This window comes from Homo sapiens, chromosome 7 (assembly GCF_000001405.40).
Source record: "Homo sapiens chromosome 7, GRCh38.p14 Primary Assembly".
Classification (NCBI taxonomy): Eukaryota; Metazoa; Chordata; class Mammalia; order Primates; family Hominidae; genus Homo; species Homo sapiens.
The window spans coordinates 81613428-81630219 of record NC_000007.14 but is presented as its reverse complement, the minus strand read 5'-3'; the positions used below and the strand labels follow the sequence as shown (position 1 = coordinate 81630219).

Sequence of the window (16792 nt, the reverse complement as noted above, 5' to 3'; positions counted from 1 at the left end):
AACAATTTATGGTCAGAAGGCACACAAGTGTAGTTTTCAAAAATGGTGGCAAATTCTTTGACATTTCTCCCATCAAGAAATCAGGTCTAGGTCTCTTTCACTTGAATCTGAGTGCTCCATGACAATGTAACTGATAGAGTATACCAGAAGTAATATTGCGTGACTTGTGTGGCCATTATAAAAGATCAGGCACCTTGTTTCCTAGATAACTTGGTCTTGGATTTCTAAGTCATAATGTAAGAAGTCTGAAGACTCATGTCTGAAAAGCCCAAGCCACATTGAGAGGTCACCTGCAGGCACTTTGGTTGATAATCCCAGCTAAGCCATTCTTAGTTTCATCTCAGCGCTAGAACCTGGGTAAAGAAACCTCCAGATAGTTTTAGCTATAAGCCAATGCTTTTGCAGAATCAAGCAATTTCCACTGTGGCCTGTATGAATTCCTGATTTGCAAAATCCATGAGCAAAATAAAATGATGGTTCTTTTTCACCACTAAGTTTGGAATGGCTCAGAACATACCACTAGGTTGGAAATGGTTTATAGTCAGAATAGAATAAACTCTTAATGTTTATAGCTATATAGAACTATAAATCCCAAGCATATTTACAAATAGAACAAAATTAAATTCAAATGAAAACTAGTTTAATATATCATTTTTCAGCAAAACAAGTTAATTAATTAATGGTCAAAACATGAGTTCCACATACTAGATGATAAATTATACCAACAATATTATTTTTCTTTAATTACTATGCAATTGTTATTCATGAAACACAATGTCAACTTATTTTACTTCAATTCATTTAGCCATATTGGTTACATTTTATGTCTTTCTCTCCTTTTCTCATTAAAAAACATATCACCATATTTTCATTTTCATGATACCAAATTAAAGCTTTTTAAACTGTAAATTATGACTGAAAAAAGTTTTGTCTTTTACACTTAGAGAAACAATTAAACATGACTTTAATAACATACATGGGATGGTGGTTTTCCAGCATATTAACAAATTCAATATTGTAATTTTCATTGCTAACAGAGTACTAACAAGATTGTAAACATGCAAGCATAAGCATTGAAATTGTATTTTTGTTGCTTATAATTGGTCTTTCAAAAGACCCAGCACATGCATGAATATGGTGACAGATTCAGTTGATAAACAATAGTCTGCATATGCAGTTTAGTATCTAATTACACCACATGAATCTAAAAACAAATATAGTAATCTATATTTTTGACATGTCTAGATGGTACAAAACATAAAATAACTAAAATTGTTTTACAATGTATTATTTTTATTAAGATTAGCCAGCCTTTTATTAAATGCTTACTATCTGCCTAGCTCTGTAGTAAGAACTTTGCATAAATTCATATTTGGTTCACCTGATACTTTGGGGTAGATATTTTTATTATATCCATTTTACAGAAAAAGAAACTAAAGCTTAGGGAAATCACGTAACTTGCCAAATACATAGAATTGGTATGCAAATACTAGAGCAGATTTGGAAGCAGTATGGTCATCTAGGCTTTCTGATTTTGAAATCAAATCTCCTTAGCAATTTGCAGATTACATTTTCATTTCTAACCATTTGCTTTCATGTTCAGCATAAATTATTTGCATATACAGAGAATACTACCTACATTACTTCTAATTAATCTATAGGTGTAATGTCAAGATTTTATGGCTTTCATCATAAAGCATTTTAATTGTATATCATTGTCTGGTACTCTATTTGTCTTAAAATTCTAGTAATTTTCACATCAACAGCTGATACAGATTTATGAGTGAATAATTCTCATTAATGCAGAAACAAAACAAGAATAGAATGTCATGTACATTAAATTGAGAATGTATTTTTGAAATGTCTGTTATTTTTGTTTCTTGAAGTAAGTGATAGGATAAAGAGTTAGGAGTGGAGAATAAAGTATAGTTAAATGAAGGCTCAGAAAGACTAGGCAAAATCTGTATTTCAAGAATATAAGCTCCCGTGGCTTCCCTTTCAAGACAAGGAATACAAAGGAACATAATTATAATGAATATCCCAAGGTCACTGTTAGAAGCCTTACTGCCTTATTAATTTATCCTATTTTCGCCAAAGTTCAATTTACACAAATATAGATATAAATCAGTGACTAAGATTAGTCATAAAGTAAGAGTCTGTTGTTTACCAAGTTTCGACTCTTCGATTATCCTCTTGAGTCTCTGTTCAGACCTTATTTATTTTAGGGACTACTTTATATTTTTTAGTTCATGGCTCCTGATACATTAAATTTTAAGTAATTATTTGTGATGAGAATAATGGGAACTTTAGTTTTCCACAGATTTCAATAAATTGTGCTAAACATATATTAATAAATTTCAAAGACAAGTATTCTGATTTTACAGAACCATGTTTTTCATAGGCTAGATTGAGTTGTTATAGGAAGTCTTAACATCCTTATGATTACTCAGTTTTACTGAATTAAGATCTTCTGATTCGATTGCTCAGTATTAGTCACTAAGTACCAGATGTACAGCCTAGTAATTCCCATAAGTCAATGACATCATTTATGAAAGGAAATTATTGTTTACTACATTCATCGTCTTATACTTTTTGTACCATATATTTTAACAATAGCTTTCTAAATTTAGGAAAATTATGTCACAAATCTACTCTTATTTGAAATTCCTAAAATTAAGTTATTTTCACTTTCATAGAGCACGAAACATTGATTTTCATTGTCTATGCAGCAAATAATCATCAAAGTAGCATTTATCTATACTCTGACTACATTCTGTAACTATAAAGTAATAGAAAGTATTGATTGGATTCTCTTGAATTTCTGATTTTTAAAAAGGCACACATACATTTATGAAAGTAACTGAAAGCTATATACATAGGTTCAAAAACTTTAACATTCATCCCTTAAGTGCATGTGAAATAGTAAAAGCAAACATTTTAAGAAAAATGTAATTCACAAGACAGTAACTTGATATTTATGAATCTCACTGGCCTAGCAATTTTTCAAGATATTTTCAAATAGATTAGCTACATTTAAAGACTTTAAACCAGTGGACAAAAAAATAAATTTTCACATTAAGACAAGAATGGCAATAAGAGTGATTACTTGGGAAAATTCATGTTATTCATCTGAAAACTGATTTATAAGCCATACCAAATAAGTTAATTCTATGGGCTAATTCTTGAACATTAATTCTTCTGATACTTGGAAAAATAATTGTAAATATTTAATTTGTTAATATAATTTTAGAAATTTGATTTTATTTCCAAATAATAGTTAAAAAAATAAAAATTTTATGGTGATTATTTCCATATTCTGTTTACACTTTTCTCATATATTAAGTTGACAAACTAAATGTCAAGCTGTGTATGCAGGAGAGAGTGTCTTTCTTTACACGTTAGAAAACATTCAATAGTATTTTAAAAGAGGCAAGGGTATATTGAGACATTTAATTTAAATAAAACACAAAAACTATGCTTTTAAGCATAATGTAATGTAAAAATGCATACAAAAGCATAATATAATATCAACGAATTTAAAAAGAAAGAATTATGTTTTATGATAGTATAAAATATTCCTACTGAAAATGCTTTATAATTTTAAAAAGCTAAACTACTTAGAAAAAAATATAGAGCTGTAGAATTTTTAAAAATTAAATGTAGCATGAATTATGTAGCCCAAGTAGAATACAGATAGTCTTCTCTTTTATTCTCCCATTAGAAACTCACATCATATATAGTATTTCAGATTGAGATAATAGTAAAGTGAAAATATTTGCTATTTATCATTATAATTTACAAATTAAACAACATAGTACTATTAGGGGAAAATTGGAGAACCATGGCTTTTTTCTTTTCCAGATAACTTCGATAACTTCTGCCAGCCAACAGTCAATTCCAATGGATCATTTAAACAGTCTATGACTACTTTACATTCTTAGAACCCTGTCCAGCTCTGCAGTCTGGCAAAATAAGTTATTTCCCCAGTGATAACAAACTGGGAGAATGACTGGAGAGGTTTTGCAACAGGGCCAAGATCTCACAGTGTTCCTCTCTTTAAGTGGGGTCTAGGAGAAACCCAGATTTCCCTCAACAGATAATCATTGGTAAGAACAATATCCTGTATAATGAGGCCAAAGTGACTATGTGTAGTAGGTGGTGAATACTTAACTCTTTCAGGTAGTTTGAAGAGTGGGTGAAGTGGTTTTTTAAAAGATGAACTTTAATTTACTGAAAATTCATTGGAATATCTATGACAGATAAAGTAATCAAAAGATATCTAACAAAAGTTAATATTATCTAGAAGGAAAAACTAAGAAAACATATATGTAAATACTTTCCACAAAGAATGACATCTTAACTGAAATACTTGCAAGTGGGAAGACATAGGAGAAAAACAGACAATTGTTCTTGCATCAGTCTAATTACTACTGCAAAAATTAATATTCATTTTAGCATTTCTAGCTCCTTCTTACAGGGTCTATACATTTAAAATAGCATATGTGTATCACAGTGCTCAGTCTGTGAAAGTATTATAGTCTGGCTGACAGAGATTTTACTCTTCCAGGGGAAAAACAATACTTTTACTGCTCAAAACAGTATTTGGACCTTTTTTACTCATTTAAATGTCTAAAACAGGAAATAAAATTTTAAAATATCTTCTTGTTTTCAAAAGCTTCTCAGAAATCATAGAGTTAAACTAAAACAACAAATGTTAAGGATAATTTGGTTAAAGAAAACATTACTTTTCATGAGTTAAAATATAACTCCCAGCTTCTTAAAACAGAAATCTGTACTCTTGCCAAGATCATTTTATACTCTGTCACGTACACATTAGTTTGTTTTTGAAAAAATAAGAAAAGCTTTTCTGTTATTTTTATAAAGACATTTACAATTCCTGTAATATTTCAACCTGCTAATTGCAAGAAAATTTAGTAAAGCACACCTACATAATTCACATTTTGATAAGAAAATCTGAAATATCTGTTTGCAGTAACTATCAATGGCACGCCCGGAAGCTATGCTGTCATTCTGAATAGATCTGTTTGACTTATCACTTAAAAGTAAGGTAAGTTCCCTAGGCTCAAACACATACAGATGTTTAAGACTTATGGTACAAATTAGAGGGGGAAAATGGTCTTAAAAGAGCCAACCTGTTTAAAATGCAAACTTGTCTTTTAAAAATTTTCTCCTGGAGATTCAGCTCTCACCGAAGTTTTGTCTACATTGGTAATCATTCTCTATGAGATTTGCCAACGTTCACTGTCTATCCCCAATGGAAAGAAAGAAAATGGATGTTTTCCATCTGCAGCAAAATAGAGTCAAAACAAATGCATTTAAATTGGAAACATTTGTGGCTAAAAGAGCTGTTCTCTATGAAAACATCTGGTTGCACTTTTAAGTCATTGCCAAATAAACGCATGCTGGAAAATCTATTTTATGCCACACATGGTCACCCATGTAGATGTAGCCTAAACCTGTTTTTGTTTGAGGTCAACACCCTATTTTAGGAAGAAAAGTACAGGTTTGTGAGTGTGCACTGATTTTTTAACAATACTGCAGAAATGGCTATGGAAGTTTGAACATGTCTACTTTCTTCCAGATGGGGAACAGAGTAGGACAGACGTGCTTTTGATAGTTCTCAGGTAGACAATGCAAAATTGGAAATAATGATGGTTGTGGGACAGATCAAATAACTACTTACTTGTGAACAAAGACTGCTTGTGGTTTCTGATTTTAGCTAGCTCTGGCTGTTATTTTTTTCTTATTTACATAGACTCAGATAACTGAAATGACCTGAAGAGATGGTATTTCAGAATATTTGGGTGACCACATTTATTTGTTATGGTAAGTAACCCCCAAATACCAGTGGCTTAACACAACAGACATTTCTTTTTCACTCAAGCCTATTGCAGATGTTACTGTTTGATGGGTAGTTTTCAGCATTGTCATTTAGGGACCAAAGTTCTTTAAATTGTGTGGCTCTCCCAGTAAGTAGGGCTCAAAGATCACTGAAGATGGTTCTGTGTCTGATCATCACAGAGAGTTAATAGGCTCATTCTGGAGGTTTTTAGGTGACAGGCCTGGAATTGTGTACAGCACTTCCACATTCACTAACCACACATAAAGGACTCAGATGTAGCCGTGAATCAGGAAGAATAGGATATGGGTGTTGGTGAATGCAAAGTTACCTCTGCTACACAGAGGATTCTGAATACATAGAAAATTCTTCAAATATTAAAATACCACACTTGGTATTTTGTTACCTATATAATGCAATTGTCAGATAATGTCATAGTAGCTATTTTACAAATGTTACTGGCCTTTGCCTCTTCTTATCACAAAGGATATTAGCTGCCTAATAAAGTAACCCTCAGACATGTTTCTGAAAGTGTCTCACTGGCACTCATGAAGACACTTGCTATTGCCGTACTACCTTTTGTCTGCTAGGCAGCTTCTGGGTATCACTATCTCTCCTTTTTATTGTACCACTTCCAATGAAACCTACCATCTCCCAATGAATCATCTGCAAGATACTGCTGTGTCTAAACAGAATATGCACATTTGAAGGGAAGACAGCAGAGGCCCTTGGGATGTCCAGATTACACTAAGTACTGTTGCAAAATGTGGATGAAGCTGTTAGATGTGGCTCCAGGCATTGATGCTTGTCTCTCAGAAAGCTTCCCCCTTCTCCTTCACCTTCTTCCTGTAGCCCTTCTCTATATATGTCTTTGACTTGTCTTAGGATAAGACTTGTCTTAGGCTATCATAAATGTCTGAGCATGTCTAGGCATGTCTAAAACCTTTACACTCAACCAAGCCTACATATATATGGTTATATTTAATCCTTGCAACAAATCTAAGAGGTAGATCTAAACTATTATAATTATTATTGCTTCTATTTCTCTAATGAGGGAACTTAACCTCTATGAAATTAAGCAGTTTGTCCAATCTAGCAAAATTCTAGATCAGTTCTCCAAATCTAAAATTCAGGCTCTTAAACATTGCACTATTTTGCTTCCTTTAAGTTTCAGACAAGGCCTTTTACATTATTTTCATTAAATATGCCTCAGTTTTACATATTTCTCCATTCCTTTTCTCCTCCCTAAAATGTCTGTCACTCATTTTTACTGAAATTGGTGATGTTTAACTTAAAACAATCCCACGTTAGTGCTTTAATAGAACTCACTGAATCCTGGGTGGCAAATTTATACACGAATAATAAATGAGACATCCTGTATAGAATATAGGGATGGGGACTGTGTACTCAAAGAAGTAGCTACTGTTTAACTCGAGCCAATGGTTGTCATTTAGGAATGCATACTATGTATTGCCAAATCTTATGATTTTCCAAGGGAAGCTAGGAATTTGGATTTTTATGTGAAAACTGATTTTAATTATTATCATTTTGCTCACTTTTTTTCTTGGGAGGAAAATGGATTTCTAATCTGTAATACCAAAATATGGTCCCATTTGACACCCAATTATTATTATTACTATTATTATTATTATTATTATTATTATTATTATTATTATTGTCGAGATGGAGTTTCGCTCTTGTTGCCCAGGCTGGAGTGCAATGGCATGATCTTGGCTCAGTGCAAATTCTGCCCCGTGGGTTCAAGTGATTCTCCTGGCTCAACCTCCTGAGTAGCTGGGATTACAGGCATGCGCCACTATGCCCAGCTAATTTTGTATTTTTCGTAGAGACAGGGTTTCTCCATGTTGGTCAGGCTGGTCTCAAACTCCCGACCTCAGGTGATCTGCCCGCCTTGGCCTCCTAAAGTGCTGGGATTACAGGTGTGAGCCACCGCGCCTGGCTGACACTCAATTATTTTTATAAGTAGGAAGTAAAAAGGCTGCATTCTTCACGTTTGGTTGTACTCTAAATTTCATAACCATTACACATTTAGTAAGTCACTCACACTTTCATTTATTCACTCATTCATTCATGTAATTCATACATTCACATATTATTCCATTATTAACTGAATTCCATATTGTATGCAAGACATACAATATGATGATAGAAATGAATGATCTCTGCTTTCAAGGTGCTCATAATTTGAGATAGGAAAGAAATACATCAACAGGCAATTAAAATGCTTTTGAAGGGAGTGCAGTGATAATGGAAGGAATAATTAACTCCATCTGGGGATGGTATTTAATGATAAGTGGGAGTTGCCACAGGAAAAAGACACAGAAAGTGCAGTATACATAACCTAGGTGGTTTAGAACAATAGGAAGAAGTTAAAAAAAAATCTAAACGTTCTATACTGCTTGAGCAGAGATGTTATTGGGACTAGTGGAAAACCAAAATATATAGATTTACGAGAATATCTTATAGAACACATTATATTGCTAAATATGAACATTGATCATATGATCACATTATTAGCATATCATTCATATGTATATGTTTGGCTATTTTCCTCAAATACATCTTGAAATGCATAGACACCATAATAATCATCCTCATATACTGTGAGAATTGTCATAATGCAACTAATATACATGTATGCACTTCCTCATTAACATATTAGCAAATGGGTCTGATGGCTGCTTGCCTTAGAATGTTTATACTAAAATTAATATGTAATCGAACTCTTTTTAAAATCAGAGTATAAATACAATGTCGACAGTTAGCCTTGAAATCTTATATATATGATTGAAAACATCTTCAGTTTATATTGAGTTTTTAATAGTTTTATCAATATGATATAACATTTCTAAGCAAACTTATATTTCCAATAAGAGAAACTGTATAATTCACCCTTCAAAACAGTCATTTTGAGAGTGAAAGAACACTTGGTAATTATGCCAGGATAGAGTAGATGGTCATCTTACCAATAATCACAGCAGTAATTGACAGAAAGTATGTTTCAGACATCTACAAGTTTCTATAAATACTCATTGGAAAAATGTGAAATCAGAAAATAACTAACACTAGTCATACTGGGCTCGTGCCTGTAATATTTAAAAGAAAGGGCAGATTTTCTCACAAAAAAATCAAATATAGCTATATTTGGTATCAAGAAAATATCCACATATATAAAAAGCTATAGGATGGTGGGGAAAATTTTGGTGAAGTTTTAAGGAGAAGGAAAATAGAAATATACGGTAGGCTGTATGGTATTAATGTAAATGTGTCAGCCATTTAAAAGGACGAGTTGAAAGGTGAGCTACAGGATATGACGAGGATTTGATCACAAAACTATGTCAGAGACAAGAAGTACTTGTGATGTGGAAATGTGACAACTCAGATAGCAATAAATATAGATAGGTACAAATTATGTTTTACTAAAATAAGAGCCTTTATTATATATTTATTTTGTCTTAGAGGATTCTCAAGAAGGTAAAGGGAGTAAGCAGGGTGAGCTGCTATCTTGGATTTGAATCTGCAAGAACAAGGATTAAGTAAAGTTAATGCCATTTGGAGAAAAGTGACCATGCCATCTTAATATATATGATGGCCAAGGCAGAAAATATTGAGTTTGATCAAAGACATCTCCTGTATATTATGGATTTCCCCATCTTCAAGGAAAAGGCTTCACTGGTTAAAATTCCCTTGACTGAAAAGAAAGGGAGTATTTTAAAACTATGCTTATCAAGATGAGTTCCTTTTCAAGAAGGAAAAAGGCAAATTAGCTGTAAGACGTGGCTTCTTAGAATACTTTATAATGTTGAAAATGAAATTAAGAAATGATAATTTCCTGCTAATATCACACATAATGTGTGTGCTATGTACCAGACACCATACTTAGCACAACCTATATACCTATTTTACAAAAGAGAACAATGAGACTTAAAGTCAACATTTATTCAAATAATATAATAGACATTATGAGATACATTTTAAGTTTTGTGACTATGTAGCTAGGACTCAAACCTAAGTATCTCTGAATATGATTATTAGTAGCCATTTTGTCTTTCTTATAGAAGTATCCAAACAAAAGTTAGTAGAAAATAAAAGGTCAATGCAATCTTACCCTGTTATCATGTAAGTATAATGTATACCTCAAGAGGATTATATACTACTCTGAACCAATCAACTTCCATTTGCAAAATAACCAAGTACAGTTTGGGACATTGCACTTAAGAAATTTACAGATATGCCTTTCAAAAACATGCATATATTTTGGAGGGCATCTGAGATTATATCAGCTAAAAAACAATTACAGGCTTAGTAATATTTAACCTAGAGAATAGAACAAATGAACAATTAAGTAAAACTGTGATATTCCTTTTCAAATTCACGAAACAATGAAAATAATTGCAATGAAGCTTTTTAAAGGTAGCTCCAAAGAGCAAGATTAAGATGATAAAAAGGAAGATAAAGAGGCAGTTTTCACTCACAATGCAGAGAAAGACAATGGGGTTTAAAATTTTGAATAGCTCTCAGCCAAGGGTGTCATATGCCTGTTGTCTATGTCATATATATACACAAATATGAATAATTTTAAAATATAAACATATAGTATAAAATATGTAAATAGGTTTGTATTTATATATAAGTAAATTATTTAAAAACCTGTGAGGAAATTGATATTATCTTCATTTTAAAAATAAGACAAGTGAGGGGTTTGGAGAAGCTATAAATAATAGAGCTGCTAAGAGGCTGGCCGTCTTCCTGTTCTGTTCCCCATCAAACCATATATATAAATTGAGTTCTCCAAGAATGGAGTGAAATGTCCAACACACCTTCCTTGTAGTCTTGATTTTTTAATGTGCAAATGAGAATGTTAGAAGTGACTGTTATAATTCTTTTTTCCATCTCCAAACAATGCCACCTTGCCTCATGTTCTGCTAGATTCATCACTCGTTACAGAGACACCAAATTGACAAAGATTGTGTTCATATGTTCAGGCCTAATTTGTAAGAGTATTGATGAGTTATTTTGTTATCATAACCTTGGGAATTTGAGGGACGAGTATAATTAACTTTGATCCTTTAAAACTGCCTACTTCAATTTCAGCAAAACTTTGTTCAATTTTCATTTTGCGACAGATTGATTGGGTGTGATCCATATACTGCTTGATAACTAAGAATTCAAGGCCTGACTACTTTTCCAAACTGCATACATTATTAAACCTTGAAAAGAACATTTTAAGAAAGCAAAAAGAGAAAAAAAATCATTTACCCTCAATTTTCCCCTTCATTCCTCATCTGTCAACATAAACACCCTATTAGGGAAAAACAAAACCAAAAACAGTGCTTTTCAAACTGGATACCTTTTTTCATTAGAGACAAATTAGCAGCAATTTTTTAAAGTTTCGCTTCTTTGAAGTGTTTGGGGGCATTTTAGAATACAAAGTTATTGAAACCCACTGACCAACCAAATAACAAGCAAATACCTGAACGGTCTTACAGCACTGCTAAAATACTGTGGTCCTAAATAAACGTATCAACTGGGAGAAATACAATGTTTCTTATTAAACTTTCTATATCTGTTAGTTTGATATCTTATATGAAAGAATTCATATAATGAATGGGAATTTGTCCCAGTAATAAGATTATATAATAATTCAGAAAGCATAAACTACCATTTTCTCCAAGGGTTACTTAAGCCTTTGGTTCAAAAGAGCTTGAGTTCCCCATGAAAGGTCTGTACTTTTTCAGGCACGCAATCAGTGACTCAGGATGAGTAATAGGGCCAGGCATCTCCTTTCCCTCCCCTTCTCTCCTCTGTTCTTTCCTGCTTCACCAGAAAATACAAATTAATTGACTGTTTTTAGCATGCCCTTCTGTTGTTTATCTTAGCTCTTGACATTCAAAGATGCTTTAAAAATCTATGGCTATTTTATAACTAGGCTATATTTTAGAAGGAGCTAACAAATAATCAATGAAAGGGAAAAATATTGTTTTATGACTTAATGTTTGATTGGATATATTATTTACTTATATTTCATTTGTATAATGTTAAATAGAGATGTTAATACTTGCAATACTTGGTATAAGCGTACAAATTTGTATATATATGCGCACATATACAGTTCTGATTTGGCTGCCCTGGCTTCTTTTTGTTTCCTAATCTTAAAAAATCTGTAAAGGGCACTCATTTTTTCCTCAGTTAATAATGTGAAAAAGACTACACTGACATGGTTAGATTCCTAGGACTCTCAGTTCTTTAGGGATGGACTAAATGGCTGGTTTCATCGCTTACAAAAGTGTCTGACAGTTCTGACACACACACACACACACACGAGGGGTCTTCAAAAAGTTCATGGAAACTGTATATTATGACAAATCAATGCATGGATTTCAAAATATTTTTGCATCAAAATAATTGCATGCTAATTTGCTATAATATATCTGAACAGGACCTAGTTTAAGGCACCGAAAAAGACAATACATCAGTTTGAAAAGAGCCCCTATAAGAGCAGTGTGAATTCTACCAAAATTAAAGCAAAAACATCAAATATGTGGTGAAGTTTTAGTGTAAGAATTGTGAAATCATTGATGCTTTCCAAAAATTTATAGGGACAATGCCCCAAAGAAATCAGCAGTTTGCAAATGGTAACTCATTTTAAGAAGTGATGAGATGATGTTGAAAATGAAGCCCAAAGTGGCAGACTATCCACATCAAATTGTAAGAAAAAAAGTAATCTTGTCCATGACCTAACTGAAGAGGACTGATGATTAATAGCACAAACAATAGCCAATACCATAGACATCTCAATTTGTTTACCACACATTTTGTGGAAAAACTAAAACTGAGCAAAAGTTTCACTCAATAGGTGCTAAAACTGTTGTGCCTGGATCTGCTGCAGACAAGAACAGCGCTTTTAATGAAAATTTTTTAAAATTGGGATCAAGAAGCATTTCTTCAAAGAGTAGTAATAGGAGATAAAATATAGCTTTACCAGTGAACTGAAGACAAAGAACAATAAAAACAATGGCTACCAAGAGGTGGCAGTGGTCCAGTCAAAGCAAAAGCAGATCAGTCAACAGCAAAGGTCATGCAAGAATTTTTGGGGGATGCTCAAGGCATTCTGCTTATTGACTTCCTGGAGGGCCACAGAACAGTAACATCTGCTTGTTATGAGAGTGTTTTGAGAAAGTTAGCTGAAGCTTTAGCAGAAGAATTCCCCGGGAAACTTCACCAGGGAGTCCTTCTTCACCACTACAATGCTCCTTCTCATACCTCTCTTCAAACAAGAGCAATTTTGTGAGAATTTCGATAACAAATCATTAGTCATCCACCTTACGGTTCTGACTTGGCTCCTCTGACTTCTTTCTGTTTCCTATTCTTAAAAATCTGTAAAGGGCACTCATTTTTTTCCTCAGTTAATAATGTAAAAAAGATTGTACTGACATGGTTAAATTCTCAGTTCTTTACAGATGGACTAAATGGCTGGTATTATTGCTTCCAAAAGTATCTGGAACTTGATGAAGCTTATGTTGACAAGTAAAGTTTATATTTTTATTTTTAGTATTTTAATTCCAGTTTTCCATAAACTTTTTGAAGTTCCCTCATATATATCTCACATACATACAAACACACCTATTATATAAACATACAAATCTCTAAATCTATCTGTCTGGTCCTAGGTAGAACTATGAAATCTGTGTTAGAGGCATTCCAAAATTTATTTCAATATCATAAATCGAATCCTTACACTTTTCTCTGAGCCAGGTTTTATAGGAGACTGAATTCAGAAAGAATGTGATGTAAAATCTTTGCCATAGTTTGTCCCTTACGGTTATTCTTCCCAATAATGATTGAAACTGACATTCTTCCAGTTACTGAAAATGCCTCCTTGAAGGAAAAAAAAAAAACTACTACAACCCTTCCCTGAAACCTTCCCTAAAACTGTTGACATAGTAGTGAGTGTACATAGACAACAGATATTATAATTTAAACAATTGCGTAGTATGTTAAAGGATGATAAATTCTATGGAAGAAAATAAGATAGGGAAAAAGGAATGGGAAAAAAGAGGAGTTCCTACTTAAATCAGATGATGCGGGTAAATTTCAATGAGAAAATGATAATTGAGCAAAAATTAGAAGGAGGTGATGACCCAAGACATATGAACATCTAAGGGAAGAATTTTCCAGGCAGAGAGAATGGTCATTTCCAAGAACTTGGGACAGCAGTGTGTCTGGTAGAACATACTTGACAAAGAGCTTGGGATTTTAGTATTAGATTCTAAGAGAATATACATGCTTAAGACTCAAAGGGAGTAAAACTCGTGATAGAACTTAATCCAGAATATGATAGACAAAATCTTGTTTATTCATTCATTCAAAGGCCAATTAGATATATAACAAGCCTTTCCTTGTCCTCAGCACTGGAAACACAAACACAAGCTAGACAAATAGGGAAAAATTCATGTAAACAGAGTGTTACACTCCATAGAATAAATGCCATAGGAGAGTACACAGAACACTTTTGGGTAATAGTAGAGGGAGGGAATGTCTAAGTATCCCGGGGAAGTCATGAATGCCTTCACTAAGGAAGTGACATTTGATCTGGCTCCTAAAGATTTTGTAAAGTTTCACAAGAAAGTAATGAGAGAGATGCATTTCTGGGCATAGAATCATATCTGTAATGGAAGTATGGAAGAGAATATGAAAAAGCATTGAATTCACTGAATGTATGGTACATTAGGGGGAAAAGAAGAAATGAGTAAAATGTGAAATACTGCATGCTAAGTGGTTTGGACTCTCTCTTCTGTAGGAAGAAAGTTTTAGTATAAAAATGACATAATCAGGTTTGTAAATTACAACTATTTGATGGTGGATATGGAGGATGGATTGCACCATGCTGGCAACCATCTCCAGTTACCAACCATTCATGAGAGGTCCCTGTATATATACGTGTAAAGATGCTTTAATTCTTCAGGGAAAGCTTTATAACATTACGTAGGAATCTTACTGCTAGTGTTGATGGAGAACAGAACTCAGAATAGGATAGGTTACTTCCGAAAATATTCAAATCACAATCCCATGGGGGTGTTCAATATGAGGGTCTACAAAATTCCATTCTAGACTTTGAGTTATTTAATGAGGTATCCTAAGTAACTCTAAAGTAATATAAAATATTTGTTGAGTGTTTCTCATATATCCTGTATTGGGCTAGTTCCTTTTATGCATTACCTCATATATTCATAACAGCTCTGAGGTAGTTATTATAACTTTCCACATATTATAAATGAAGAAGAAAGATTTCCAGGGGAAGTTAAACTATGTGCATAGATAAAATAGCTTTTTTTAAAAAAAATCTGGTACCTTTGATTGCAAGTGTGATGCTTTACCACTTCCCTGAAAATGTGTAAGACTTTGGAGTTTGTAGCATTCTGCCATCAAGGCATAGCACACATCTGAAATGATTTCTCTTCTACAGGTTTTGACCTGGGGCTGGTTTATGCATTCACAAAATATGTTTTGGTGACTAGAAAAATAATGAGTTTCTTGTGGCAAGAAATGTGAAGGGTCTGAAATTTTGCCTTACTTGGAAGCTGAGAGGTTGATTTCCCACAGGTTCATGTATACTGGTACAAGACATAAGACTTTGGGGTCAGATACACAGGACATTATTATTATTATTCACAGAAATTGCAGAAGCCAGAGTGCCAGCATTCACACTGGTTCCTTCAGTCCCAAATCCTAAAAAGTAAGGCAGAGGGCCAAGTGATGCTTGCACATGCCATGGGTTGGGCTAGAGAAGAGGAATTTTGGGCTTAGGGAACGCCAATGTTTTATAAGGGACATTAAGTCTACCTGATCTTTGTCCAGGAAGGAGAGCTTATCCCACCATTTCTACTTTACACACTGGAAATCCCATGGAATTCTTGAAATGCAAACATTTCTGAGAACTTGACCTGGGTAATCTAAGCTAAGTTCTATTCCACTGCCATATGGAAGATTATTTTATTTTATTATATGTTTAATAAGACTGTGTGGAATTTATTTTTATCAAAGTATAAAAGCTATCACTCTTTGGTAGTTTGTGATGCCACAGTTGAAGGGTGAGTATGATTAAGTATATTTTTCTAGCACTGTGACTCCTTGAATCATATACACCCTTCTTTTTCTAAGCAGTAGAGAGATACTGTTGCCAAAATAATTTAACTTTTAACGAACTATTATGGCTGGATAATGCTCCAGGTCACCCTGAATTTCTTAAGGTTATGATGTAAAAATTGTATTTTATCACCAAATGCAACTTTATTAAGTCAGTCAGTGGACAGACCAAGGAATTATTTCAACTTTTAGAGCCTATAACTTTAGATGAATTTTCAGACAAGCCATTGACACTACAACTGAAGATCAGGCAATTAACCTTAGCTCATCTCTGGATAAATATCACTTAAAGCAAGCATTAGAAATCATGAAGACATTCAGAAAGTAAACTGAGTAATATTCATGAAGTATTGCAGAAACATTTGCCACACTGTGAAAATAACTTTTCAGGATTCTAAGTTAACATAAATGGAGTTAACAGGTAAAAAAAATCCCTGATCATGGGAATATTGGCACTGCCACTATTTGAGAAACAACATGTATGCAGCCAGAAGAACTTAGTGAAGGTGACATTAACCAAAATTAAGTAAGTGGTTGTGCTTCAAAGGATGATGATGTCCTGGAGGAAATGACATTGTGAAAAAACTTCACATTAAAGGAAATCTCAAAGATATTTTACAACACTGAAAGTGCAAATAATAAAATGTGGGAAGCTGATCCAAACCTAGAAAGGAACAGGATAATTTGCTAAGGCCCAGAAAAGATCCTTGCTCCATAGCGGACAGCAAGCACTGTTTAAACTACTCCTGAAATATCCTTCTTAAC

General features: G+C 33.3%; 1 long non-coding RNA gene across 2 annotated transcripts in view, besides 1 other annotated feature; it reads left to right on the top strand.

The window, feature by feature from the left end:
• The window catches only part of LOC100128317 (uncharacterized), a 115021-nt gene that overhangs the window by 61187 nt on the left and 37042 nt on the right, over positions 1-16792 (top strand). Inside the window, exons 2-3 of one of the 2 annotated variants that reach the window (NR_126025.1) lie at positions 4994-5068; positions 5777-5847. This is a non-coding gene — a long non-coding RNA (uncharacterized LOC100128317). Of the gene's footprint in view, positions 1-4003; positions 4107-4993; positions 5069-5776; positions 5848-16792 lie in introns of those variants that run through there. The other variant, NR_126026.1, reaches the window with a different exon arrangement.
• Positions 6152-7351: an enhancer, noted in NCBI's record as "P300/CBP strongly-dependent group 1 enhancer chr7:81252185-81253384 (GRCh37/hg19 assembly coordinates)". NCBI's record gives its function as "activates an origin of replication core promoter dependent on BRD2, BRD4, P300/CBP, MED14 and CDK7 cofactors, with strong dependence on P300/CBP, by STARR-seq in HCT116 cells {active_cell/tissue: HCT116}" and the evidence as "EXISTENCE:reporter gene assay evidence [ECO:0000049][PMID:35650434]".